General features: G+C 35.8%; 1 protein-coding gene across 16 annotated transcripts in view, besides 4 other annotated features; it reads left to right on the top strand.

Moving 5' to 3' along the window:
- Nucleotides 1-27,689, top strand: part of REV3L (REV3 like, DNA directed polymerase zeta catalytic subunit) — a 184,679-nt gene that overhangs the window by 1,063 nt on the left and 155,927 nt on the right. Inside the window, exons 3-4 of one of the 16 annotated variants that reach the window (NM_001286431.2) lie at nt 10,509-10,636; nt 22,243-22,349. The exons of 13 other annotated variants lie outside the window; for them this stretch is intronic. The gene's annotated coding sequence lies outside the window, so the exon portion shown is untranslated. Of the gene's footprint in view, nt 1-37; nt 8,404-10,508; nt 10,637-22,242; nt 22,350-27,689 lie in introns of those variants that run through there. 2 more of the 16 variants (XM_011536032.3, NM_001286432.2) reach the window with 2 other exon arrangements.
- Nucleotides 35-114: a silencer, noted in NCBI's record as "silent region_17475". NCBI's record gives its function as "represses an Ori minimal core promoter by ATAC-STARR-seq in GM12878 lymphoblastoid cells {active_cell/tissue: GM12878}" and the evidence as "EXISTENCE:reporter gene assay evidence [ECO:0000049][PMID:35858748]".
- Nucleotides 485-544: an enhancer, noted in NCBI's record as "active region_24944". NCBI's record gives its function as "activates an Ori minimal core promoter by ATAC-STARR-seq in GM12878 lymphoblastoid cells {active_cell/tissue: GM12878}" and the evidence as "EXISTENCE:reporter gene assay evidence [ECO:0000049][PMID:35858748]".
- Nucleotides 3,283-4,007: an enhancer, noted in NCBI's record as "OCT4-NANOG hESC enhancer chr6:111799845-111800569 (GRCh37/hg19 assembly coordinates)". NCBI's record gives its function as "activates a minimal SCP1, AML or CMV promoter by ChIP-STARR-seq in naive and primed H9 embryonic stem cells {active_cell/tissue: H9 hESC(naive and primed)}" and the evidence as "EXISTENCE:reporter gene assay evidence [ECO:0000049][PMID:30033119]".
- Nucleotides 4,605-5,497: an enhancer, noted in NCBI's record as "OCT4-NANOG hESC enhancer chr6:111798355-111799247 (GRCh37/hg19 assembly coordinates)". NCBI's record gives its function as "activates a minimal SCP1, AML or CMV promoter by ChIP-STARR-seq in naive and primed H9 embryonic stem cells {active_cell/tissue: H9 hESC(naive and primed)}" and the evidence as "EXISTENCE:reporter gene assay evidence [ECO:0000049][PMID:30033119]".

Genomic DNA, 27,689 nt, shown 5'->3' with positions numbered 1-27,689 from the left:
TCCGTGGATCGCTGCCGCGTCTTCCCTCCCCTCCGCCCTCCTCGCCTTTTCTCTCGTGCGTGACAAGAGCCGCAAAAATGTGGGTCCGCGCGAGCGCTGCGCGGCGCCCCCACCCCCGGGCAGGGAGGTGGCGAGCGCCGCGTGTTTAGACTGCGTGTGGCGGCCGGGAGCGGGAGCCGCACTCCAGGGCGCGGGCCGGGAGAGCGAAAGCCGCGGGCGCCCCGGACGGCGGGCCAGGTGGCCGCGCCATGTCCATCGGTGGACGGGTTCGTAGGGCCTGCTCTGAGGTCGGTCGCTAGTGGGACATCCCTTGTGTCCCCCAAGTGCCGCTTTCTGGAAACGGGGAAGTGTCAGCCTTGTTGTCAGTCGCTCCCCATGGTCTCTTCTCACCCTCGCTCTCCTCTGCCAGTTCCGGAGATGCAGTGGGCCGGAGAGAGTGGCGCTTGGGGCCAGATAATCTTTCTCACTGGGGTGACCGTGTGGCTCTGCTGTGAGTGCAGGTCGTGACTCCTTAGAGTTTAGTGCCTGAGCGTCGGGGGACAGGGCAGCATCCTTAGGTGCAGTGCTTTCAGGAAATGTGCATCCATGGAAGTAGGAAATGCGTGTTTATGTTGCCCAACCTAAAACATCACACTTAATGGGGTGAATTTATTAGGAACCACAGCCAGACTCAGCAGCACAGACATTTTGAAATGCTCCTAGGCTGGGCTGTAGGATTGCGTTTTAAGTACAGGTATATATTTTTTAAACACAACTATGTTGAAGAAGGGATGGGAAGGGGAGACAGCCGTGACAGAAGGTACGTTCTCAAAAACTCCTGGGGCTTATGATAATATAAAAAAGATAGAGGCCCAGTTTACTAGGTGTTTTAAAATGGTTTTGCTTTTTTGCATGCTTTGAACTGCTTCCATGAAATAATGGAGTTCTAGGAAATAATGCATCTTAGGAAAGGTTGTTCTTCCCTCTAGCTATGAATTGCCCTATGGGATTTTAGATAGCATTTCCCACTTGATGCTCCTTGCCCTCATCACCATTCATCTTATTACTACAGTCAGTTTCTGTGGACTACCAAGATAATAGCGCTTTCCCAAACACAAGCACTCATTTTAAAGCAGTTATCTTTTAATGTGAATTCTCTTTGTTAAAATGTCAATGTTGTGAGATTTGGTAGCATATTCCTATTTAAACTAGTGAATATGATTTTGATATGAACCTTGAAAGATGGGGAATTTGAGTGCTTTTAACGTGTTGAAAGTGTAACACTTGAAACTTTGGAGGCTGGGAAATCGAGGCGATGAAGTGTTCTATAAGATAGGTTTTCTGCCCTTTTAAATATAGTGGTGCTGTCTTTGTTTCCAATTGGAATTTCAGTGTAATGCACTGTTCTCACTTCAGATGCAGAGGAAGGATAAAATAGTGAAGTTGATATGGCCCTGTTCAGCCAAATTTCCGAATCATAAAGTGACATGCTAATAGGATATACTGTGGCATTTCTGTGTATTACAGCTTGTATGGTTTGAGTTACTTTTCCACACATAATTTTTTCTCCTCCACACAAGTCATTAAATATGTTTTCCTGAGAGATAGTCAAGCTTTGTTGTATAGGAAAGTTTCGTTTGTGGAAATAAATGAGTTTCACTGTAAGCTAATGTAATTCTATTACGTGAGGAAATGTTCCTTAAAAAATAAAGAATATTATATACTGTTGTTTTCCTGAATATTTTTTAAAAGACACATTAACTATTTCCTATTTAATCCTTCATGGACATCCCACAATAGATTACCAGCACCTTAAAAAAAAAAAAAAAAACAAAAACGAAAAAACCAAAGACTAAAAACCCCCATTGGGGTTTTTTTTTTGGTACATACTTTGAAATTTATATTTTAAATGAATTAAAAAGTAACACTTTTTATATGTACATTGAAAGACATAAAACTTGATACAGAGAAAGTCAAATTTTAAATTGTTAAGGATTATCAAATTGAATTTGCCATGTAGTTCACAGTTTCCAACAAAATGTTTGTTTCAACAAGAAAAAATTTGAAGTCATTGGCATACATTTAGAGTTTACACTTTTCATAAACCAAGCCAGCATTTTTATTAGCACGTCAGAAACTCCCAGTGAGATTAATATTAATTAAACATAATCAAAAACTGCAGAATTACCTGCTTTTGAATTATCTCCCCAAGGAAAACTAGTCCAATAAAATAAAACTTGAAAATTATTAATATAAAAGAGAGGCCAGTCTGACTTAGTAAAACTCTGAATGCTAGAATTTTTAATGAAGACAGATTTATTTGAAAGTAAAGATGTAAACATAATGCAAAGATATAAACATGGTTTGTATTATATCTTTATAGTTTATATCTTTACTAACAAGTAAAATAAGGTAATAAAAATGTGTAACACATGATAAACCTATGCTACATAAAATAGCATAAACATACTTTTTTCATATATAAGAATTACTTTGGGAGGTCCTTAATGCTTTACTTTGGTTTGGAGAGAAAATGTTTTAAAATTGACTTTGCTTTACAAATGAGATCCTGAAAAATAGCAACCAAAGATATTTTTTCTCAAATGAAGTGGCCGTTTCAAAATTATATTACAAATTCTGAACTGATTGGATTAATACCCTTTTACTAGTTTAGTTTTTCTATTATTGCCTGAAAAGCATTTTTCTGCTTTAGAAAACAGTCCAGTTGACTTTTGATTGTTCTGTGTTTTGAGGACGTATCTTGAGTAATTTAAGAAATAAAGTGTTTTGGGTTTAAAAGCTCCCATGTCTTAAGTTGGTGAAATTTGAAAAGGTATTTTTAAAAAGAGGGATATTCAGGGCTGGGTGCTGTGGCTCATGCCTGTAATCCCAACACTTTGGAAGACAGAGGCAGGAGGATCGCTTGAACCCAGGAGTTGGAGACCAGCCTGGGCGACATAGTCTGTACAAAACAAACAAACAAACAAACAAAATTGGCTGGGCGTGGTGGTGTGCACCTGTAGTACTAGCTATTTGGAAAGCTGAGACAGGAGAATCGCTTCAGCCCAGAAGGTTGAGGCTGCAGTGAGCCAAGATCACGCCACTGCACTCCAGCCTGGGCAACAGAGCAAGAGCCTGTCTTAAAAAAAAAAAAAAAAAAGGCGGGGGGGGATATTCAGATTTGAATGGTAAATCCTGACTGATTTAATCCCTTGCCAACTGAGGATATTGATTCCTAAGGGAATCACTTAAAGTTTCTTCATCTGAGTTATGGAATTTTTTAAAAAACAAAAACAAATTTCCTCTCCATTTTTTTAACTAGTTTTTAAAATGTCTTGAACATTATTTTGACATAATCAAATTGAGCAGTATCATTTGTAGAATAAATTGTTAATTTTTTCTTTTAGAACAACATTTTGGTAACTTGTTTTAATGGAGGGAAGAAAGGTTGTGAATAAAGTATAGGACAATGTTTTTTCATTTAGATTTGAATATAGGTGTGACCACTCAGAGGATTCACTACAAATGAAATCATCAGGCTTCATTTAAGGATTTGACTGAGGTGGACTTGGGAAGCTGTCCATTTTCCACATCTCGACTTTTGCTTAGTTGCTTGATGTAACTCACTTCATGCTGAGTTTAGACAGCTCTCACAGTTTCCTCAGCACCAGGTTAAACAGAACTATCCTTTCAAAGAGCTTCCCTGCTGAGATGCAGAGTAGGAGTAAATAGAAGAGTGTGGGATGTCCACAAAGCAAGGAATTAAACAAAGTAGGCCAGACAGACTATAGAGGGAGCTGCTTGTCTTTAAGATTACTCTAAGGAACTCTGCCACTTCCTCTAGCTTAGTGAATATTTTGGTAGATTGTTCTAGATACTGTTAGCCATGAAATCAAGCTTTTCAACATAAGGAATTGATAATTCTGAAATGCTATATAAGTTTATGTAGATGCTTATCCAATTATAAATATATTCTCATTGTTTATATTTTATAAAATTAAATATAAGAAACTACCAGAATAACCTTTTTTTTTTTTTTTGGTAAATTGGAGTTAAATTTGCAATAAGAATAATTTTGAAAATTAGCGTGTATCAACAACTCAGGTTCAAAAGTTTCTCTAATAGAATCTGCTTTGTTCATAGTCTGTTTTTTACTAAGCTATTTAAAAATATTTTAAGATCATATAACACCTATTTGATTACAATTATTGGAGAGATTTTCAGGAACGCTATGGAGATGTAATGACTCATCACAAACAAATTGGTCACTTTTTTTAAAGTAGGTATTTGAAGCCCTGAGTAGCAAGTTGTTTTAGCTTTAAGTGCCTTAAGAACAGCTTTACTCTCCAGAAGCTCACAATGTAGTAGAGATGATGGGCATGTAAACGTAAGTCAAATGCAGTATGACTGGACTATAGAAATGTGTATAAGACAAAGCAAGGATTCATTGGGAGACATGTTCTATATCCAGGCAAAAAGGGGAGTCAGGGAAGACTTCGTGAAGGAAATATGGATTAGTCATGTTAAAGGAATTTTTAAGGAACTTAAAATTTCAGATAGAGGAACAGCTACAAGGTAATTGACAGATGAAGACAACTGCTCTTTGCAGGGCAGTTTGGCAATGTATATTAGAATCCTTGAAGTGTTCTTTTTTGACCCAGTAATTCTAGTTTTAGGGATTTTAATCTATGAGCATAAATCTTTTGGCAAATCTGGTTGTCTTTTGAATCCGTCTACTTCTTTTCATAATCCATCACCACCCTAAACTACTAGCATTTTTGGTCAGGTTTACTACAGTAGCCTCCTAATCTTGGTTTATCCCAATCTACTTTGTCCCCTTCTGATCTGTTTCCTACACTGTAATCAGAGGGATCTTTTAAAAATGCAAACCTGATTACATCACCCTACTGTTTGATATGCTTCAGTAGCTTTCCATTGCATTCAGGATATGGACAGAACTCTGTGTCTTATATGGTGGCATCTGCCTGTCTTACAAGGTCTTGCATAGTCTGGCCCTTACCTTTCTGTCTAGTCATGACTTGAGCCATGTTCTTGACTTACTCTTTTTGTTCCAGCCTTGTTGGCCTTATCTCAGTCCCTTGTTCTTGCCATGCTCCTTCCCACAGTGAGGGCTTTGTACCTGCCGTTGCCCCTGCTGAGAATGTTTTTACTTTTCTTTCACCTAAACTTCGATTTATCTTTCCTCAGGGAAGGCTTCCCTATCACAGACTCTCAGAGCACCATGAACTCTCCTCATAGCACTTGCTGTCATTGTAATTTCATATGTGTTGGAGATTAACATCTGTTTTTCCAAATAGATTGTAACCTCCAGAAATCCTGATAATGTGTTTCTTTTTCCTCACCATTATAGAGTTAATGCTTACCACAGTGCTTGAAACTCGTCTATTAATTCTTGGAACTCATTTGTGGCAAGGATTAATAAATAGATGATAATCATCACAGAGAACAACTCTAAGTGTTCAACAATTGGCAAATGGTTGCATAAACTGGGTATATTCATTTGGGAGGATGTGTTTAAAACATGTTGTAGAAGTATGTGTAATAACATGGGAAAGTGCTGTCATATTATGTGAAAAAATTAGTTTACAAAATAGTCACTTATTAAAAGTGTGGAAAAAAATACACCGAAGTATAAAAGTTGGTTATCTCTGGAAGGTATGTTTTATATTTTCAGATTTTTTACAGATAACATGTGCTGATTTTATAATTTAAAAAAACCATGTACAAAATTAAGGAAAAATTGATTTTCTAGATATGGTTCCAGAAATGTAGTGGGAGACATGAGATTCGTAATGGTCTCCAAAATATGTGTCAACCAAAATGCATGATTGCATGATGATCATATTGAACTTAATTATATAAATTCCATTTAGAAATTGCAAAATGATTCATAAATTAAAGCAAGCCAGTAATTTCTGGTTGTATTATTCTTACTTGTATGTAAAGTGGTTTTAATTTTAAAATGTTTTGAAAAGTAACATGGTTTTGGCACATGACAGCACTAAAACAGAGTAAAGACTAGAATTAACTTAAATATATATGAGAGCTTAATATAGGTTGAGCATCCCTTATCTAAAACTCCATAATCTGAAATCCTTCAAAATCTGAAATGTTTTGAACACCAACATGATGCCACAAGTAGAAAATTCCACACCTGACCTCATGATGGGTCGCAGTCAAAACTTCGTTTCAGGCTGGATGCAGTGGCTCATGTCTGTAATCCCAACACTTTGGGAGGCTAAGGTGGGAGGATTGCTTCAGCCCAGGAGTTCAAGACCAGCCTGGGCAACATGGAAAGACGCTATCTCTACAAAAAAATACAAAAGTTAGCCAGGCAGGGTGGTACACGTTTGTGGTTCCAGCTACTTGGGAGGCTGAGGCAGGAGGATCGCTTGAGCCCAGGAGGTGAAGGCTGCAGTGAGCCATGATTGTATGACTGCATTCCAGCCTGGGTGACAGAGCAAGTCCCTGTCTCAAAAACAATCAAAACAACTTTGTTTCATGTGTAACATTATTTAAAATTATATAAAATTACATTCAGGTTTGGTCCCATCCTCAGGATATCTCATGTATGTGCAAATATTCTAAAATCTGAAACACTTCTGGTCCCAAGCATTTCAGATAAGGGGTATTCAACTTGTATATGAAAATGGATCCCACCTTCATTTATGAGTAGGGAAAAGAAGAATTGTTTAATAAACAGTGTTGGGATAGCCAGTTAGTCATCTGGAAAAATAATGTTGGCTTCCAGAGGAGTTAAAGATTTAAATATGAAACAAAGAAACAAAAAAGGTAGGGTAATTATTTTTTACGTAATCCAGGATTGGTGAAGTCCTTTAATAGCATACTGGGTTGCTGGATTTTAGGACATAAAAATAAAATTCTGTACAGGGGAAAAAATCAAACAAAGTTAAAAGAGAAACAGACTAGTAAAACTTATTTGTATACTTCACAAAGGGCTAAGTTCCTCTTAATACAAAGAACTAGAAAATAATCCAGTAGAAAAATTAGCAAAGAGAATTCATATGAAAAAATGTACAACTTTATTTATAATATAATAAAGATGTAAATTCAAGCTACAACATACTCTTTGTCACCTATCAAATGAGCAAAGGTTATGTATAGTATAACTCGGGAAAGGTGAGAAGAGAAAATGGTCAGCCTTATACATTGCTGGTGGGATTATAAAGTATTCATACTCTATAGAAAGCAGTTTGAAAATGGTTTTCAAAAATTAAAACACAGATTTATTTCGTTCTAGTAATTCCATTATAGGATTTTATTCTCTAGAAGATTTTGCATATATGTCAAATAAATATCTAAGAATATTTGTGGCAGCATTATTTGTTACTGCAAAAGATTGGAAACATGCTAAACATATCAGTAGGGAAGTAGTTAGGTGAATTATGGTGTATATATTCAACAGAATACTAGTCAGCCTTTAAAAATAATGAGAGAATACTATGTGTACTGCTGTGGTGCTATGTCAAAGATATGAGGAAAAAAAGCAAGAGGCATGACTGCATGTGCAGTTTGCTGCCATTCGTGTGGTTAAAATATATATTTTTATATGCTATATATGCCTATGTATTAGAATAAAATTCTTTATTATAATAAAATCCATATGTGTGTGTGTGTGTGTGTGTGTGTGTGTGTGTGTATATATAGGCAGCTATAGAATGTAATGTGCATGGGAGGATACGGGAGAGTCTGATGACAGTAATTGCTCCAGTGTGTAGAAGTGGTTGCCTAGAGGACAAAGATGGACTAACTTTTAAAGTATACTGTTTGGTAATTTTTCAGTATTTTAAAATCATGTGCATGTAATACTATTCAAAGTTAATATTTTTAAGTTATGTTTTGCTTACAGGAATTGGTAAGAAGGAAAAAATAAGAGACCATAATAGTTGTTACAAACAAATGATTACTGCAATACTGTTTTTAACTTTAGTTATTGTTAGAGATCTTCTAATTCAAAGTTTTCAGTTGATGTTACATGGCTCACAGAAGGGTAGTCCTAGTAGAATGGGGGCTGAAGGAAGGCGTTGGGGTTCCTGTGAACAAATAGCATGGTGAGTGACAACCAACAGTTAAAAGCAGCATACTGCTCCTTTTGATATTTTAAGTGCATTAAATGAGGTGTGCCTTACTACTTGGAATCTACTTCAGCAGCCAGCCACAGTGTACAGCTGCCTTTTGTGGGAAAGGGATCATGGAATTGTTACTGGAGTTTGTATTCACGGTGCCGAAGGAACATGCCACCTACCACAAGGTGCAACCCACTTACAATGAGAGGACAAGGAAGCAGGGAGGGTGTCTCTGGTGGCCCAGCTCCAGGCCTGACTATCTGTATTCACCTGTATTGGATGCTGCTCACCACGTGCGTTTGATATGCTCTGCAAGGTGACTGCCTAATAGTGCATGTATGTTTGTCAGAAATAAAGCATGATTTTAATTTTGAAATATTCTTGATGTGAAAATGTTTGGTTTTGAAATTCATATTAAAATTTTCAGCATTACATGTGTCAAAAAATATCTACCATAACACTTTACATTTTTTCTTCTGTAATTAGAAAATATGATAATTTTTTTTCACCAGGCACTGTGTAGATGCCTCCAAATGCCCTCCTGTTGTCCAGTGTGCTAAATTTTTTTTTGCTGACAAGTTTTGTTTGCAATGTTAAAAGGGTTGAGAAGCATCATTCTAGTCAAATGTACTCATTTTGTATGAAGAAAACTGAAATCTACATAGCAGGCTCAGGGATTTGTCCAGTGTCCTACAGTTGGTTGGTGTGAGGCTGGATTTGAAAATTGGGGATCTTGGATCTTGACTCTTCAGCTCTCATCACCTCACACTGACCCCCTCTCCCCCCGAAACATGAGGGAATATTGGAGGAAGGCATTGATGATAATTGAAAGACAAAAATACAGAACCTCAGAGGAATTATTAAAAGAACTGCACATATGTAGTTCAGAAATCTTTGAGACCCTACTGTATCTAATAGTGCTTAGAATCTTCTTATATAATAATATTATTAATATTCTATAATCTAGAATAGATTATAGTAGGATTCGTTTTATGATGACTTGGGCTGTATCTTTAAGAAAACAAAAGATTATAGCAAAAGGAGTTTAGGGCAAACATAAATAAAAATTGATACTAAAATCGTATGTATGCTATTTCCAAAAAAGGGAGGAGGGAATATATGAGACCTTTCAAGTTCCTCTGGTACTATAATTACATTTTCTCTCATCTTGCTTTTGATTGGATTAGAATTCACGCAATTAAAGATAATCTAGGGCCAGGCACCTATAATCCCAGCACTTTGGGAAGCAGAGGCAGGAAGATTGCCTGAGCCCAGGATTTTGAGACCAGTCTGGGCAACATGGCAAGACCCCGTCTCTTTAAAAAAAAAAAAAAATCTAAGTGAAAAATGATTCAAGTCTAAATAGGTTGGGTTAAAGTAGGTTTTAGAGGATGTTGTCATTGGTGCTGGATATTTCAAAGAAATAGTTTGAACTTACTTATAAAGTAAGAAATGGGCCATGGTATGAGGTATGTCACTCTGGTATCTGGCTGCCATTTTAACATCATAGTGATAATAAGAGGAAATAATGGGAGTTAAGGAACAGTAAACTTTGGGTGAAATTGTGTTAACTTGTAATTTCCATGTAGATACAGATAAGGCAGGAATGAGTGTCTTAGGCAATTAGAAATAACTCAGTCTACTGTCCAAACATGATGTGGATTTTGAGACCAAAACAAATTATAAGTAAAAGTAAGACCCTCTTAATGACAGCCTATTTAACCTTTTTGGTGTTTTTGTTTGGTGTGTGTGTGTGTTTTCTGTCGTTCCTTCTAAGTTTTCCAGATGATCTTGTGTTTCTTCCAGCTCTCTGTGGGTTTTTAAATATTTCATTTTATAAATGAAAAATACTTTGTTGTTTAATTAGCATTGGTAAACTGGACTGTTTTCTGTAGCAGAAATTGAATACAAGCCTAGCAAAGTAAATTCTGAGAAAAATGAGTAGTAATTGTCAATGGAAAATTTCGTGGTTTTTTTTTTTCTTTTTTGGCCAATTCTATTTTTTTAGATGATAGTTTTGGGAAATACTAAGAATTTGAGCTCAATTTACTTTGGGGCAGTTATTTAATTTTCTTTGGGTTCAGAGAGCATTACTACTATATAAACAATTCAAATAATAAAAGAGTGTTACCTCAAAAATGCCTTGTGTAATATATAACAGTTCACAAGAATACTATTTTTCTTCCATTTATTACGATTACAAAGAAGTATAACAAGAATTAAAAGAAATATATTATTTTGCATATATATTTATACTTCAAAGTAATTTATATACTAAATTAGGTTTTGTTTGAGATGGTGAAATGAAAGACTTTGTAAATAAGAATACATGTTGATATGTGAAAAATGTAAAGTTAAAACATGTTGGCATACTCGCAGTTTCTCAGAACAAGAAAATGACTAATCTAAATTTCATTTCAGAATAAAACCCAAGACAAGCCACATAAAAGCAACCTAAAAATTAAACTGTCATCATATTATTTGTTTTAAAACTATGGAATAATATATCTGAGGAAGATTTCTCTCAAAATTGTTTTTCTCAATTTCAAGTAAGTAATTTATTTTGGTTAATATATTGGGGGTGAGGGGGGTGGGGGTGAGCCTTGGCATTGAAGTTGGTAAATCCTACTCACCCTTAACTAACAACTTAAATATCAACCTCTTTAAAGCCTTCTGTGACTCCTTTGCCCATTCCCAAAGATTATCTCCTTGGTTTTCCAAGTCTTCATCCCCTTCCACATTGCTGTTAAAAAAGGATCTGTTACAATGGATATTGTGTTTGTCTCTAAGAATAGTCATGTGGCACTACCTTCATGGGCCCCACCTCATACTTCTCAACCCCACTGCCTTCTGTTGCTGAGAGACCCCGAGCAAGTTATTATACTTATGTTAGCCTTAATTTCCTCCTCTGTAAAGTGAGTTTTAATAATTTCTACAGCATAGCATTATTATGATTGAATAAGATAACCAGCTAATGTCTGGCATACATAGTAACATAAATGTTACTTTCTTTACCTGTCTTATCTCCAGAATCTGCTACATTACCTCATATACTGAGTACTCTTTAAAATGTTTGAATTGAAATGAAACATGGAATTTTTGTAGCAGGTATTCCTCACATTAGGAGAAACTAAAACATCTGCACATTGTGGTATGAGATTTTTTACATTTCGTTAGTGACATATCTACAGTCTAGGTAATTGCCTGTTTAAAACACTTTTTAAAAATTTGGCTATGTTTTATAAGTGGTCCATCAGGACCTGAAAAGAACCTTATTTTCCAAAGCCATCACTAGTGCCTTAAAAAAAAAAAGGTGATAGAACATGTTGAAAGTATGTATGCTAGATGTCACAGTAAAGGTGACATGTCAGTAGGATTTATTGCTCTCTTGTGAATTTGTAACACACACAAAAATGGAAGCCTTTGTATTTTAAACGTACTTAGGATTGTGGAATGTGGACTAAATGATTTATTATTGCCCAGAGCTTCACCTCTCATCACCATATATTTTCTACATACATTCCTAGGTTTTGTTTAATAACATTGTCTTTTACTTATTTATTTTTATTTATTTATTTTTTTGAGACAGAGTCTCACTCTGTTGCCCAGGCTGGAGTGTAGTGGCACAATCTTGGCTCCGTGCAACCTCCACCTCCCGAGTTCAAATGATTCTCCTGCCTCAGCCTCCCAAGTAGCTGGAATTACAGCCACGTGCCACCACACCCGGCTACTTTTTGTATTTTTAGTAGAGATGGAATTTCACCATGTTGGCCAGGCTGGTTTCGAACTCCTGACCTCAGGTGATCTGCTCACCTTGGCCTCCCAAAGTGCCGGGATTACAGGCGTGAGCCATCACCACACCCCGGCATGTCTTTTAATTTTTTAATGAGGTCATTAGAAAGATATCCAAATTAATTATGATGTCTCACACCTTAGTTGATAATGCTTAGTGTTTTGAAAATAGAAGCCATGTTATTATAGTTAAAAGACCTTAATTTTACGTCATTTTACTAAACGAGGTGGTAAACCGTTTATTAAGGACTGTGTGCCCTGTTATAAGCGATGTAATCTTCACAACAGTTCTATAAAATAGGACTGTTATCCCCATTTTACAGTTGAGGAAATGAGGCATAGAGAGGTTAATTAACTTTGCCTAAAGTGATGCAGCATAATGTTTACCTCATACCATGTGAGGATTAAATGAGAAAACATGTATTAGGCCATTACCCACTTAAACAGAAGAAACAGTGAAGCAGAATTTGAGATGAGTGTCTTCTAACACTTCCAGAATTTGATAATAGCCATTATTGAGATGTGACAGTGACCGTGAATATATTCTTATTCACATTTGTGTGTGTGTGTGTGTGTGTGTGTGTGTGTGTGTGTGAGAGATAGTAAACCCTGGTACTCTTAACCCATTTTTTTTTTCTGAAGCAATATTAATGTCTCCTCTCAAATTCATGCTCCTATTTGGACTGAATTAATGTATTTGTGTTTACAAGGTGATAGTAAGATTTTAATATCAATCTGATATAAAATTTTTATAAGTTCAGTGTAATTAAATAGTATGTGGATATATTCTCATTGTGAAATTTGAAAAGCAGAACAGGTAAGGGAAAAATCTTCTTTGACCACCTATTCCCCTCTCTACTTGGATCAGCTTTTGTTGTATGATAAATCTCCCCAAAACATAGTGCTGTGAAACAATAGGCATTTGTTAGCCTAATTCTGGGCTGGGCTCAATTAAGCAATTCTGCTGCAGCTTATGTCTGGCCTTGCGGATGTGGCTGCAGTCAGCTGATGGGTCAGCTGGGAGCTGGTTGGTCTAGGATAGCTATGTCTGGATAATCCGTACTGGTTGTTTGCTTGGGTGATGGGGGCCATGTGTCTCCCGCAGGCTAGGCGTGGCTCTTTCACCTGGAGGCAGTAGTAGGGTTTACAGAAGTAACTAGTGACAGCAAGCCTCGTATATTTTCTGTTGTCCATAGGCCAAAGCAGATCAACATGGCCAATTCCAGAGTTGGTATGGGAGGGGTTTCCTAACTGAGTGGGGCTAATTAGGGGGCCATTACTACAACAATCTATTATCCAACTGTTGCTGGCTAACTCATTTTTCAGGAAACATGCACTAACTAGCGTGGCATTGCTCCTTTCTTGAAGTAGTGTTTATGTAAGCAATTTATTCAACAGTTCAGATAAATTTAGTTAATTCATTGTTCTTGTTTTTATTCCATTTTTGTCATCCTTCAGCATTATTCTTAGTTTCATTCAACTCAACAAATATTTATTGAGCACCCATTAAGTGCACAATAAGGTATCAAGAGGTGAGCAGCAGATAGAGCAAGACTACTGTGTTAATCATCCAGGTTTGTTTTGTTTTGTTTTGTTTTTTGTTGTTGTTTGAAACAGTCTCGCTCTGTTGCCCAGGCTGGAGTGCAATGGTGTGATCTTGGCTCACTGCCACCTTCACCTCCTGGGTTCAGGCTATTCTCCCACCTCAGCCTCCTGAGTAGCTGGGATTACAGGCATGCACCACCCCACCCAGCTAATTTTTTGTATTTTTAGTAGAGACAGGGTTTCACCATTTTGGCCAGGCTGGTTTCAAACTCCTGACCTCAAATGATTCACCCGCCTCAGCCCTCCCAAAGTGCTGAGATTACAGGCATGAGCCACTACGCCCGACCAGTCATCCAAGTTTTTAAAAGTGGCCTACCTGTCTGCTTCATTATGTAAACAGAATTCTATAAAAGTAGAAAACTTTTAACAATTTTTTGAGAATGACCAACAGCCCACACCAGGCTAAATATTATCTTACATGCTACATTTTTAAACATCTTACAAGGATTTCTTCAAATGAGAAAAACTAATACAGAGGTTGTTTTGATCTGTACTCCCACCAGCAATAGGAGACTTTTTCCATGTCTTCATCAAGATTATGTTCTCAAATGTTTTGATCATTGCCAATCTAATAGACATAAAATGGATCTCAGTGTAGTTTTAATTTGCATTCCTTTTATTATGAGTGAGATTGAGTGTTTTTTCATATGCTTGAGAGGCCCTTATGGTATTTCCTTCTCAGCGTACTGTTTATCTTTTACCCATTTTCCTGTTGAGACTCTTGGTCTTTTCCTTACTGATTCCAAAGAGCCTTCATATATTAGTAAAGTTCATCTCCATCTGTAAATTGAGTTCCAAATGTTTTCCTCCGTTAGTTCTTATGGTAGATTACTTTTTATTTAAGTAGTATCTTTTTTTCATTTCATAAATAATCTTTATATCTGAATTAGGCTTTTAAATCACATTTAGATGAAGTTAGGTTTAAGTATTAGGCATGGGAATGGAAGGAAAAGATCCTGGCATTATCAAATCTTTTGTAGAGAACTTTTTAAAACTCTGGATAGTTAAAATGAAAAACTTCAAAAGGATCCTGTCTTTGATTTATTTTTTCCTCTTCTAGGTTTGGTTTTATTATGACATCAGTCGTTTTGACCGGGCAGTCCAAGGAGTAGGATCATAACCTCTGGAGGGCTGTTTTTAGATGATGAGATTGTATAGTATAGATGGAAAATACTCTGTGTAACTTAGAAGAAATTGTTAATAATGTTGCTTTGAGTCTCGTTAATTTCATTGTGTGTGTGTTTGTGTGTGTGATGTGTATAAAACATGCATAGATCATGGTAGTGCTTCTAGCAATGCTCTACTCTTACGTACAGTCTTCCCTCTGTATCCATCCCTTAGTATCTGTGAGGGATTCGTTGCAGGAATCCCTGAGGATATAAAAATCCACAGATGCTCAAATCACTTATATAAAATGGTGTAGTATTTGCATAAAATAACCTAAGCATATTCTCCTATATAGTACTTCAAATTATCACTTACACCTAATACATTGTAAATGCTATGTAATAGTTGTGATACTGTATTATTTAAGGTAGTAATAACAAGGAAAAAAGTTTGTACGCATTCAGTACAGATGCAACTCTTTCCCTGAATATTTTTGATCTGTGGTTGGTTGAATCCACAGATGTGGAACCCACAGATATGGAGGGCCAGCTATATAATTTTCAATCTGTTCAGCCAACCTTAACCTAATCAACCACATGGGTATGTTAGGATGGCTAGATTAGGCTAGCCATTAGCAGTGGACCACACAGAAGAAAAACACACAGAATGTAGACTCTTTTGAGAATGCAGTAATGCTACCTACTGCCCAAATAATATCCTAGATTTTTTCTGAGATTGTGGGAAGCCAGGAAGAAGGTGGCAGAGACATCTGTGACCTCCTATGCCACATCTGACATGAAGTACTTTGACCTTTTCCCTTGACTTTTGTATAAAAAGGTATTAGAAAACTGCGAGGCTGGACATTTTATATGTTTTGAGTAATTTAATATAATTTTAAACATTTTAAAGTTGTCGAACCCTTTCTTCTTATATAATTTTACCCAGCAGCATCAAAAACAAATAGGAATCCTTAAGTGATTAGTGGGGCATGGCAGAAAGCCAGTTTTTTACCATGCTTTACATAGTTTTTAGTTTTTCAAAGTTATTGATGTATTCTTTAGCGTCTGCTTTATTACTAACATCTTTATACATGTTTCACTGAAAATTGAAAGGAAGTTTTTCATTTAATACCAAATTATTGACTTACTGTTATTTTCTTGGTTAATCCTTTTTAAACAATTTAAAATTTCTTTTTTCTAATTTTATTTTATTTTTTGAGACAGAGTCTCACTGTGTCGCCCAGGCTAGAGTGCTGTGGTGCGATCTCGGCTCACTGCAACCTCCATCTCCTGGGTTCAAGTGATTCTCGTGCTTCAGTCTCCCAAGTAGCTGGGATTACAAGCATGTGCCACCACACCATACCTGTCTAATTTTTGTATGTTTCATAGAGATGGGGTTTCGCCATGTTGGCCAGGCTGGTCTTGAACTCCTGACTTCAGGTGATCTGCCCATCTCAGCCCCTCAAAGTGCTGAGATTACAGGCATGAGCCACCTCGCCTGGCCCAATTTTAACATTTCCGAGTTTGTAATGTGTCTCACAGTATGTACATTTAATACAGTAATTTTCCCTCCTGAAAAGCTGGTATTAAACTGATAGGACATTTATAATCAGTGACTTCTTAGAGAAAACGTGACATTTTAAAATTCCTCTATGTGCTTTTTTTAAAAAAAATCTAATGTGTCATGGAATGGGTTTGCTTCCCAAATAAACATTTGTCCTTCATTTTTGCCTTGCATCTGTAATTGTTTTAAATTTGTATATTTTGATGTGTTGTTTGGCACATCCCAGCTTCATGACCGATAAGTCTTTTATCACAGTGCTTTTCAAATTATTTGTGGTGAAGAATCAGGTTTTTTTCCCAATACTTCTTTAAAATACATTAAAAATGAATTACTAGAAAAATGAAATGAAATGAGAATAACTTGACAAAATAGTAATATAACCTCCATTTTTAAAAATTATTTTATTTAACAGGTATAGAATTTCCCTCTCAGACTGCTGTAAGAGTTTCTAAATGCTAAGTTTCGAGCTTTGTTCTTGTCTTGTTGCATAGCTGTAGCAAACAGCTAGTTCATAGATGGCATTTGAGTAGCACTGTAGAGATCTTTTTAGCAATATAAAAAGACTAATTCATTTCTTAAAATCTTTTTGTCCTGTGTCAAAATTATTATTCCTATTTCCTTTCAGTTTGACTATTTCTGCGATATATTGTATAAATCGTTTTTCATCACTATTTTTAATCTTTTTATGTCAGTTCAGTTTTAAACCCATCTGAAGATTTTAAACAAAGTTTTTTTTTTTTTTTTTTTTTGGTTTTTGTTTTTGAGTCGGAATCTCGCTTTGTTGCCCAGGCTAGAGTGCTCGGGCGCGATCTCAGCTCACTGCAACCTCCGCCTCCCTGGTTCAAGCGATTCTCCTGCCTTAGCCTCCCGAGTAACTGAGATTACAGGCGCGTACCACCATGCCCAGCTAACTTTGAATTTTTAGAAGAGATGGGGTTTCACCATGTTGGTCTGGCTTGTCTCAAACTCCTGACCTCAAGTGATCCGCCTGCCTCAGCCTCCCAAAGTGCTGGGATTATAGGTGTGAGCCACTGCGCTCAGCCAACAAAATTTGCTATAATTGAGGTTTGATTTTGTTTTTCACTCTTGTAATTTTATATTTTTACAATAACTTGGCTGGGTGCTGTGGCTCATGCCTGTAATCACAGCACTTTGGGAGGCTGAGGCAGGTGGATCACCTGAGGTCAGAAGTTTGAGACCAGCCTAGCCAACATGGCAAAACCCCGTCTCTACTAAAAGTACAAAAATTAGCTGGGCGTGATGGTGCATGCCTGTAATCCTGGCTACTCAGGGGGCTGAGCCAGGAGAATCACTTGAACCCGGGAGGCAGAGGTTGCAGTGAGCTGAGATCGCACCATTGCACTCCAGCACAACAAGAGAGAAACTCCATCTCAAAAAAAAAAAAAAAACAAATAAAAATAACTTTATTTTACCCTTTCCTTTAGTGTGTGACTTTTGCAGCATAGACCGTTTTATGTGTTTTCCTTTTTTTTGAGATGGAGTCTTGCTCTGTCACCCAGGCTGGAGTGCAGTGGTGCGATCGTGGCTCACTGCAGCCTCCGTCTCCCAGGTTCAAGCAATTCTTCTGCCTCAGCCTCCCAAGTAGCTGGGACTATAGGCGCACGCTGCCATGTCCAGCTAGTTTTTTGTATTTTAGTAGAGATGGGGTTTCACCATGTTGCCCAGGCTGGTCTTGAACTCCTGAGCTCAGGAAGTCCACCTGTCTAGGCCTCCCAAAGTGCAAGGATTACAGGCGTGAGCAACCATGCCCGGCCCTGTTTTCCTTTTTGGAAAACATAGATAACAGAACTCATTTTTAAAAGTGTATGTACCAAAATGTAGTTTTTTAAATTGTTGTTTCTATTCATTTCTTTTTTCTTATCTCTTAAGAGTTCCATTTATATCTTAGACTGCATATAAGTCTGTCTTTTTATTTCTTCCTATATGTATGTTGTTGAGAACACACAGCATATACTTTTTACATTTTTTCTGTTTCTAAATATAAATTATCACAGATTCTTTTCTTTGGCATTTTTAAGAAGATGTTTTATCTATGCTGCTGAATGTTTGTTTAGGTCCCATTCCATACATACCTATCTATGAACAAGGGCTATTTTTCCAAGCCTAGTGTTTGCCAGTAGGTAGGGTATGGCAAGTTCACTTTAATCATATTTATTTTCTGCTTATAAAAAGATAGATTTGCCTTCCCTAGCATAAAGAACTAATGATCGTATACAACCCACTTAGATGAAAACATTCACTTAGTGTACCTCTACTGGATTGAGGTTTAAGGTTTTTTCCACTTTTCTCCTTGCACAGTTCGCTGGTATATGGGAACTAACATATTTATGGATAACCTGAAACAGTTTTTTTTTTTAAATTTTTGTTATTTATTTATTTATTTTACCAGAACATTGCATGCAAGCCTCCAGGTTGTAAAGGCCCTTAGGACTTTTAGTGATTTAATCAGTGATGGGAGCTAATTCATTTATTTAGATTTTGGATGCTTTTTAACATGCCAGGATGAAGACAGCTATGCTGCGTCAATTATGTTGATATTGGTTGTTTTTAGAGTAGATGAACAGAGGTATTACATGTCTTAGAAAATTTTTAGTAGGGGACTGGTTTCTGTTGGAGCAGACCGTGTCCCCAAGGTAGAGAAAAGAGTTACACAGTAAGTCCTTGCTTAATGTCCATGACAGGTTCTTGGAAATTGTGACTTTAAGTGAAATCACATATAATGAAACCGTTTTTTTCTCATTGTTATAATAAAATGAAGTTGAACAAAATGTCATTTGGAGATCTGCTACAAAGTTTTTCTTAAAGTTTAGGTTTCCAAGAACCTATCAACAAAGTTAAGTGAAAATTTACTGTATGTCTTAAATATTTTAGTGAAAAATTTAGAGAAGGATTATTCTGTATTTCATCAATTCTAAGAAGTATATTTTCCCTCCTTGTGCATCTCAGTAATTAGGATATGTCTTACAATCAGTAGTGCACCATATTTACTTAACAGCACTTTTCTTAGTACAAAAATTAATTATGTCATAATCACTAGCATCTTGGATTCAGTGAAATATATTAATAGTTGTTTAGCTTAGTGCCATTCTAAATTGAATCTCTTTATTTGTTGTAACATTAACCTTTCTTCTCTTCGGACAGTTTTGGCCTTGGCTTAACTTCCTAGCTTTGTTCACTTGGAAGCTTGATAAGGTAGAATATCAGTTGTATAACCGAGCACCATTGCTTATGGTAATAATGACTCATGATTACTGAATTGCATAAGGACCAGAGGAGGACTGTGAATGAATTGTAAATACTGGTACTTATACCGTTAACAGCTTTGGACTTCCCTGAGTGTGATAACTCTTGCAACTAAGCAAATCTGTTGCTGAAGCTCAGGAAGCTATGCCTATGAGACTGGAGATATTGGTTGCTATTTGGTACCTGTAAGCTAGAGTAGCTACTGCAAGGACCTTATGCTCTCATTCTCTTACACTTGATCTGCCACCTGAGAGGGCCAAAGATACTAGCCCCCGAATTGCAATGAGGACTCCTGCCTGACATGTTAAGTATAACCAGCCTGTTTGGGTTATGTGAGTCTCGGTGTCTAGTTAGGCCTAACGGGGTGTTGTACTTACATTCTGTGGCTTTATTTTGTTTTTAATATTTGCTGAGTGAATCTATATTTACTATTTATTCGTCATAAGAATTTTAAATTATAAATATGAGCACATCTCTACTAAGTAATGCCAAATTGTTTTCCAAAGTGATCATACCAATCTATACTCCCACCAGAAGTGTGAGTTTCTGATGTTCCACATCTTCACCAATATTTAGGATTGTCAGACTTAAGTTTTAAATTAGGAATTAATTTAAAACATCTCATTGTGGGTTTGTACATTTTTCATCACTAGTGAGAGATTGAGTTTTTCCATATGTTTATAGCCTACTCGTTCTATAAAATACTGAGAGATGTGTTGAAGTCTCCAACTTAATAGATTTGTCTATTTCTCTTTCCAGTTCTATCAGTTTTTTTTTCATGTATTTTGAAAGTTTGTTAGATCCATACATATTTAAGATCGGTGTGCCTTTCTGGCGGACAGCCTCTTTATCTCTGGTAATATTCCTTGTTCTGAAATCTTCTTTGCCTTGTATTAATATAACCACTTCAGCTTCCTTTTGATTAGTATTTACATGGTATATCATGTCAAAAACTGAAGTTTGCCATGAATTTCATACATATTAGCAATAGACATGAGATTTCCATCTCTCCATTGTATCACTTATTAATAAAGAGTAACTGGGGAGATGGTTGCAGACCAGATACTGAGAAGTAGGTTCAAAGGCAGCTACCTCAACAGAGACCCATGGAGAATTGTCTCCCAACATATTTTTTCTGTTTTTGTTTTTTGTTTTACTTTCACTTTCAACCTATCTGTATCTTTACACTTAATATGGGTTTCTTATAGTCAGCATATAGATGGGCTTACTTGTTTATCCAGTCTGATAATCTCTGTCTTTCATTTTGACATGTCTCTTTTATTTAGTGTGTTTAGATTGTTTATATTTATCAACATTGGTAATATGGTTGGATTAAAATCTACCACTATGGTATCTGGTTTATGTTAGTCTATCTGTTCTTTTTTTCTTTTGGATTACTTGGACTTTTTAAAAATTCCATTTCTCTCCGCGGTTTGCTTATTTATTTATACCTCTTTCTGAAATTTGTTTAGTGGTTGCCCTAGGGTTTGCCGTATATTTGTAATTAATCACAGTTTTCTTGATATAATAATACATAGCTTTATATGTAGTATTAGGACCTTATAGTTCTATACTCCCATTTCTCCTCTTCATCTTTTATGTTTTTGTTGTCATACACTTTACTTTTATATATATGCAATCAACATGCAATATATTACTACTCTAAGACTTTACAGTATATTGCTATAGATTTTATAGAACTGTTCATGTAGGTTATAATAAATTTATTTTTAAAAAGTCTTCAATAATTAGCCTTACCTTACTGTAACTTTTACTTTATTAACTTCTTAGTTTTTTAAACTTTTTTACTCTCTTACAATAACTTAGCTTAAAACAAATACATTGTACAGCTGTACAAAAGTATGTCCTCATTCTGTAAGCTTTTTTCTATTTAAAAATTTTTAATTTTTACTTTTAAAACTTTTGTTAAAAACTAAGACGCAAATACATTAGCCCTAGGCCCACAGAGAGTCAAGCTATAAATATCACTGTCTTCCACTTCCACATCTTGTCTGGAAGGTCTTCAGGGACAATTACACACATGGAACTGCCATCTCCTATGATAACAGTTCCTTCTTCTGTAATATCTCCTGAAGGACTTACCTGAGGCTGTTTTACAGTTAACTTTCCTTTTTATGTAAGTAGGAGTACATTCTAAAATAATGATAAAGTATATAATAAATACATAAGCTAGTAACTGTTACCATGATCAAGTATTATGTACTTAACATAATTGTATATGCTATACTTTTATACAACTGGCAGTGTAGGTTTCTTTACACCAGCTTCACCACAAACACGTGAGTAACTCATCGTACTACAATGTTAATACAACTAGGATGTCCCTAGGCGATAGGAATTTTTCAGCTTCATCGTAATCTTATGGGACCACCATTATATATGTGGTCCCTTGTCGATTAAATATCATTATGCAGTACATGACTGCATTTTTGCTTTAGAGACAGTTATCTTTTAGAACAATTGCAAATAAGAAAAATATGAAGTTTTGTATTTACTTTCATTTATACCGTTTATACTGTTGTTCATGTCTTTGTGTAGATCCAAGTTTTCTGTCTGGTATCATTCTGTCTACCTGAAGAACTTTTAACATTTCTTATAGGCCAAGTCTGCTAGTAATAAATTATCTTTGTTTCTCTCAAAAAGACTTTATTTTTCTAAAATATTCTTGCTGAATATAGAATTCTGGATTGCCTTTTTTTTCTTTCAGTACTTAAAAGATGTCACTCTACTGTTTGTTATATGGCTTTTACGTATATATTTTTATTTGAATTAAATTTTTTTTCTTTTTCCGCTTTTATTTTAGATTCCGGGTGTACCTGTGCAGGTTTATTACAAAGGTATATTGCATAATGCTGAGGTTTGAAGTACGACTGAACCCGTCACCTAGGAAGTGAGCATAGTACTCAATAGGTAGTTTTTCCATCCTTGCCTCCCTCTCCCATCTTGTATTCTCCAGTGTCTGTTTGTTCCCATCTTAATGTCCATATGTACTCATGGTTTGGCTGCCACTTGTAAGTGAGAACATGGGGTATTTGGTTTTCTGTTTCTCCATTAGTTTGCTTAGGATAATGGCCCCCAACTGCATCCGTGTTGTTGCAAAGGACATGATTTTGTTCTTTCTGTGGCTGTGTAGTGTTCCATGGTGTATATGTACCACATTTTCTTTATCTCATTTACTGTTGATGGACACCTGTGTTGATTCCATGTCTTTGCTGTTGTGAATAGTGCTGTGATGAACACATGGGTGCATGTGTCTTTTTGGTAGAATGATATATTTTTCTTTGGGTATATACCCAGTAATGGGATTGCTAGGTTAAATGGTAGTTCCATTTTGTGTTCTTTTAGAAATCTCCAAGCTGCTCTCCACAGTGGCTGAACTAAGTTACATTCCCACCAACAGCGTAAAGGTTTTCCCTTTTCTCCACAGCCCCACTGAGATCTGTTATTTATTGACTTTTTAACAAAAGCTATTCTGACTGGTATGAGATGGTATTTCAATTGTGATTTTGATTTGCATTTCTCTGATGATTAGTGATGAGCATTTTTTCAATTTTTTTTTGGCCATTTGTATGTCTTCTTTTGAGAAGTGTCTGTTCATGTCCTTTGCTTACATTTTAATGGGGTTATTTGTTTTTTACTTGTTGATTTAAGTTCCTTATAAATTCTGGATATTAGGCCTTTGTCAGATACATAGTTTCTGAATTTTTTCTCCCATTCTGTAGATTATCTGTTTACTCTGTTAATGGTTTCTCTTGCTGTATAGAAGCTCTTAGGTCCTACTTGTCAGTTTTTGGTTTTGTTGCAATTGTTTTTGAGGACTTAGCCATAAATTCTTCGACAGGGCTGTTGTCGAGAAAAGAATTTCCTAGGTTTTCTTCTAGGATTTTTGTAGTTTTAGGTCTTACAGTTATGTCTTTAATCCATCTTGAGTTAATTTTTGTATATGGTGATAGGTAAGAGTCCAGTTTCATTCTTCTGCATATGGCTAGCCAGTTATCCCAGCACCATGTATTGAATAGGGACTTTTTCCTCATTGCTTATTTTTGTCAACTTTGTTGAACATCAGATGGTTGTAGGTGTGTGGCTTTATTTCTGGGTTGTCTATTCTGTTTTATTGGTCCATGTATCTCTTTTTGTACCAGTACTGTGCTGTTTTGGTTACTGTAGCTTTGTAGTGTAGTTTGAAGTTGAGTAATGTGATGCCTCCAGGTTTTTTCTTTTTGCTTAGGATTGCTTTGGCTGTTTGGGCTGTTTTTTGGTTCCATATGAATTTTAGAGTAGTTTTTTCTGATTCTGTGAAAAATGATATTGGTAATTTGATAGGAATAATGCTGAATCTGCAAATTACTTTGGGCAGTATGGTCATTTTAATGATACTGATTCTTCCAATCCATGAGCATGAAATATGTTTTCATTTGTGTGTGTCATTTCTGATTCTTTAAGCAGTGTTTTGTAGTTCTCCTTGTAGAGATCTTTCACTACTTTCATTAGATGTATTCCTAGGTATTTTCTTGTTTTTGTGGCTCTTGTAAATGGAATTGTGTTCTTGATTTGGCTCTTAGCCTGAAGGTTATTGTTACGTAGAAATGCTACTGATTTTTGTACATTGATTTTTGTATCCTAAAACTTGACTGAAGTTGTTTATCAGTTCAAGGAGCCTTTTGGTGGAGTCTTCGGAGTTTTCTGGTATAGAATCATACCATTAGCAAAGAAAGATAGTTTGACTTCTTCTTTTCCTATCTGGATACCTTTTATTTCTTTTTCTTGCCTGATTACTCTAGCTAGGACTTCCATTACTATGTTGAGTAAGAGTGGTGAAAGTGAGCATCATTGTCTTCTTCCATTTCTCAAGGAGAATGTTTCTAGGCTTTGCCCATCCAGTATGATGTTGGCTGTGGGTGTGTCATAAATGGCTCTTAGATATATTCCTTTGATACCTAGTTTATTGAGGGGTTTTATCATGAAGGGATGTTGGATTTTATCAAAAGCTTTTTCTGCATCTATTGAGATGGTCATATCGTGTTTCTTTTTAATTCTGTTTATGTGGTGAATCACAGTGATTGATTTGCATATGTTGAACCAACCTTGCATCCCAGGAATAAAGTCTACTTGATTATGGTGAATTAGGTTTTAGATGTGCTGATGGATTTGGTTTGCTGGTATTTTGTTGAGATTTTTTGCATCTATTACATATTTTTGTCATTTGTCTTTGATTCTTTGCATATAATGTCCTTTGTTCATTTAATTTATTTTTCTTTTGGCCGTCTTTAAGAGTTTCTCTATCTTTAGATATGATTTATCTTTATTTTGAATGTGATGTGTCTGTTTTCTTTTGTTGGTTTGTTTGGTCTTCTCTGAGTTTTTTGGTTCTCTGGTTTAGCATCTTTTACTTAATTTGGAAAATTCTTAGCCATTGTCTCTTCATGTATTTCATTTGACCTGTTCTGTCTTCTCTTTCTGTGATTTCAATTGCAGGTATATGGGCCATTTAATAATTGTCTAATTGCTCTTGTATGCTTTGTTCTGCTTTCATTTTTGTTTTTTTAATACTTGTTTTTTTTCTAACATGATGAGATTTTTCAGGGAGATTACCTTGATGATAATGGTTATTGTTGCTGTTCCTGAAGCATCAATTATTTCAAAAGATGAAGCTATATTTTAGAGACATAGGCTTCTTGGCATATTTGAGATCCTTCAGATTATTAGTAAAATATAAGTTTATGATAATCTTTTTCCCAACTAAAAACAATCTGCTTAGATTTAGGGACCATGAGATATAGCCTGGGGTTGTGGCTATTGTTGTGATGATAAAATGTAATGTAATAACCCTAATGACTTATGAACTAAGCTATGTTTTTAGTTTTCTGTATCAAAATATTTTCTTATTTTTCTGTTAGATCACTTGAATGTCATTTGATTGTCTTCGGAATTATGCTCGTTATTATACTGTTATATATTTAATTTGGAATAAAGAGTATTACCTATTATCAAGTAGCTAGACCTAGATGTTTTTATTTTTCTCTCCTATAACTATGTAGAATTAAATAGACTTGAGGTACAGTACAATTAAGGAATTAACAATAATTTTTTTTTCTGGAGTGTGTTAATTTGCATTTATGTTAAGAAAGTGGTTTGAAAGTATAAATGGGATGCCTTTTAAAGAAGGATTTTTGTAATGCATAAAATATTTAAGACCGCTAAAAGGTAATAAACTGAATTAGTGTAAATAAAACAAATTTAAACTTAGAAATATCAAAGTGTGGAGATTTTTTTGAGTAGATTCAGACTTTTTGAACTACTAAAAGTGATGAATGAGAGTTATTCTGGTTTCTTCTTAAAATTATGTGGTAGTCAAGTGAAAAGGAATATTACCTGCAAAGGGAAGCAAGATACGCTTCTATTAAATTTACATCAATTCAGGTGTGTCAGATTTACCAGAGATTCTTTGGATATGTCTGATTCCAGTGTCTAAAAGTTTAATCATAGAAAACCTTATATTTGAAATCTGAAGTTTAATATTGTGGAATGAGTATTAGTATCTGAGAAAAGATTGTTTTGGGGGAACTAGTTATATGCATTTTTAAATGTGATCTCTGCTTTACCTAATAGGATTCATAGTCTTGATACATTATACTCTACAGAGAGGAAAGTGTTTTGTTTGACCCATGTTTCAGTAGCTGGCAGATTTTGAGATAGGGACATCTCCAAGTTGATATTGGAGAACAGCCACAAGAAAAGACAAGGAGCCAAATCCGTGAAGCATTTGCTTTTTTGGCAGAAAGCCTCAGTATTTATATACAGATTTCTTCTTAAAAATTGAAGTAAACTGGATTATGGACAGTTTCTTGTTTAGTGTGTTAAATTCCCACTACATCCCCAGCACATACTTGAGAACAGAGGGTCAAGCTTCTGTTGACAACTGTTAACTCTTTCTGGCACTCCTCTTGCAGTTGTAGAACAGAAACAAGGAATTGTTTTTCCTCTGGTAAAAAGGAAGACCGACTCTAAAATTACTTAAAGGTATAGTTGTGTGTTGCTTAACGACAGGGATGTGTTCTGAGAAATGCATTGGTAGGCGATTTTGTCATTGTGTGAACATCATAGAGTATACTACACAAACCTAGAAAAAATATGTATAAATAAAAATATATTTGTATGTTACATTAGAAAACGAAATGTCCCAGCACCATTACTGAATATCAGCTATTTCCCCTACTTGATCTGCAGTGTCAATATCAAGTGCCATATACGAGGTTTCGATATGATGCTCTATCTTAAGGAACCACCATTGCATGTGCATTCCATCTTGACTGAAACATTGTTATGTGGCACAGGATTGTAATTGGAGCCCTGATTCCACACACCTACACATACATAAAAGAAAAGTGAAAATGCATTGTGTTCTTTTATCCTAATATGTTTTTGTCAATAATTTTTAATACATTATGGGGCTTTGGTAGATATTTACTGAAGAAGAGAAATTATTTCTTTTTATTTAATCATAAACAGGTAACAATCACTTACATGTAGTTTGTGGACTTTCAAGTCCATTCTCTGTCCATTTCCATGGTTACTACTTTAATTGAGGTGTCATTATTTTTGCATGGATCATCATAATAGCCTCCCAGTTTGTCTCTAACTTTACCTGTTTTCAAATTCAGCCCTTATATATTTTAGATTATAGCCCTGGCCTATAATCTAAAATAAAACTCTAGACAACATAAAGTTTTTTCATGATCGAGCACCTGCCTACCTTTTCAGCATCATCTTCTGCTTCTCCCTCAAGCACTTTGCTTTTCAGTCTGAACTGCTTGCTCTTGCTCAAATGTATGTACCTCATGACTTTGCATATGCTGTTAGCTTAATGAAAGCAGGTACCTTGGCTGTCCTAGGTGTTCAGTGTCTGGTGTGGTGTCATCCCTTATGAAATGACTGAATGCCATTCCTCTGGATGGAATGGCCTTTTCTACTGGTGAATTCTTCACACTTCAAGACTGTCCTGAGACATCATCTACACTGTGAAGCCTCTCCCAACTACCCTTAGTCATATCAGTCCTTTGTGCCACCATTGTACTTTGTATCCCTGTTAAAGCAGTTATCACATTAACTTGCAAGATTGTTTGTTTTTAACATGTCTGACTTGCCTCTTAGAGTGTGCGTTTCATGAGGGCAGATTCAGTATGCTGCCAGTCTTTGTGTCCTTAGTGCTTATTGCCTACACATGCATTAAAAATTAGAAAAAACAGCCGG

Source organism: Homo sapiens, chromosome 6 (genome assembly GCF_000001405.40).
Source record: "Homo sapiens chromosome 6, GRCh38.p14 Primary Assembly".
NCBI lineage: Eukaryota > Metazoa > Chordata > Mammalia > Primates > Hominidae > Homo > Homo sapiens.
The sequence above is the reverse complement of the archived record's forward strand: the minus strand, read 5'-3'. Positions and strand labels throughout refer to the sequence as shown.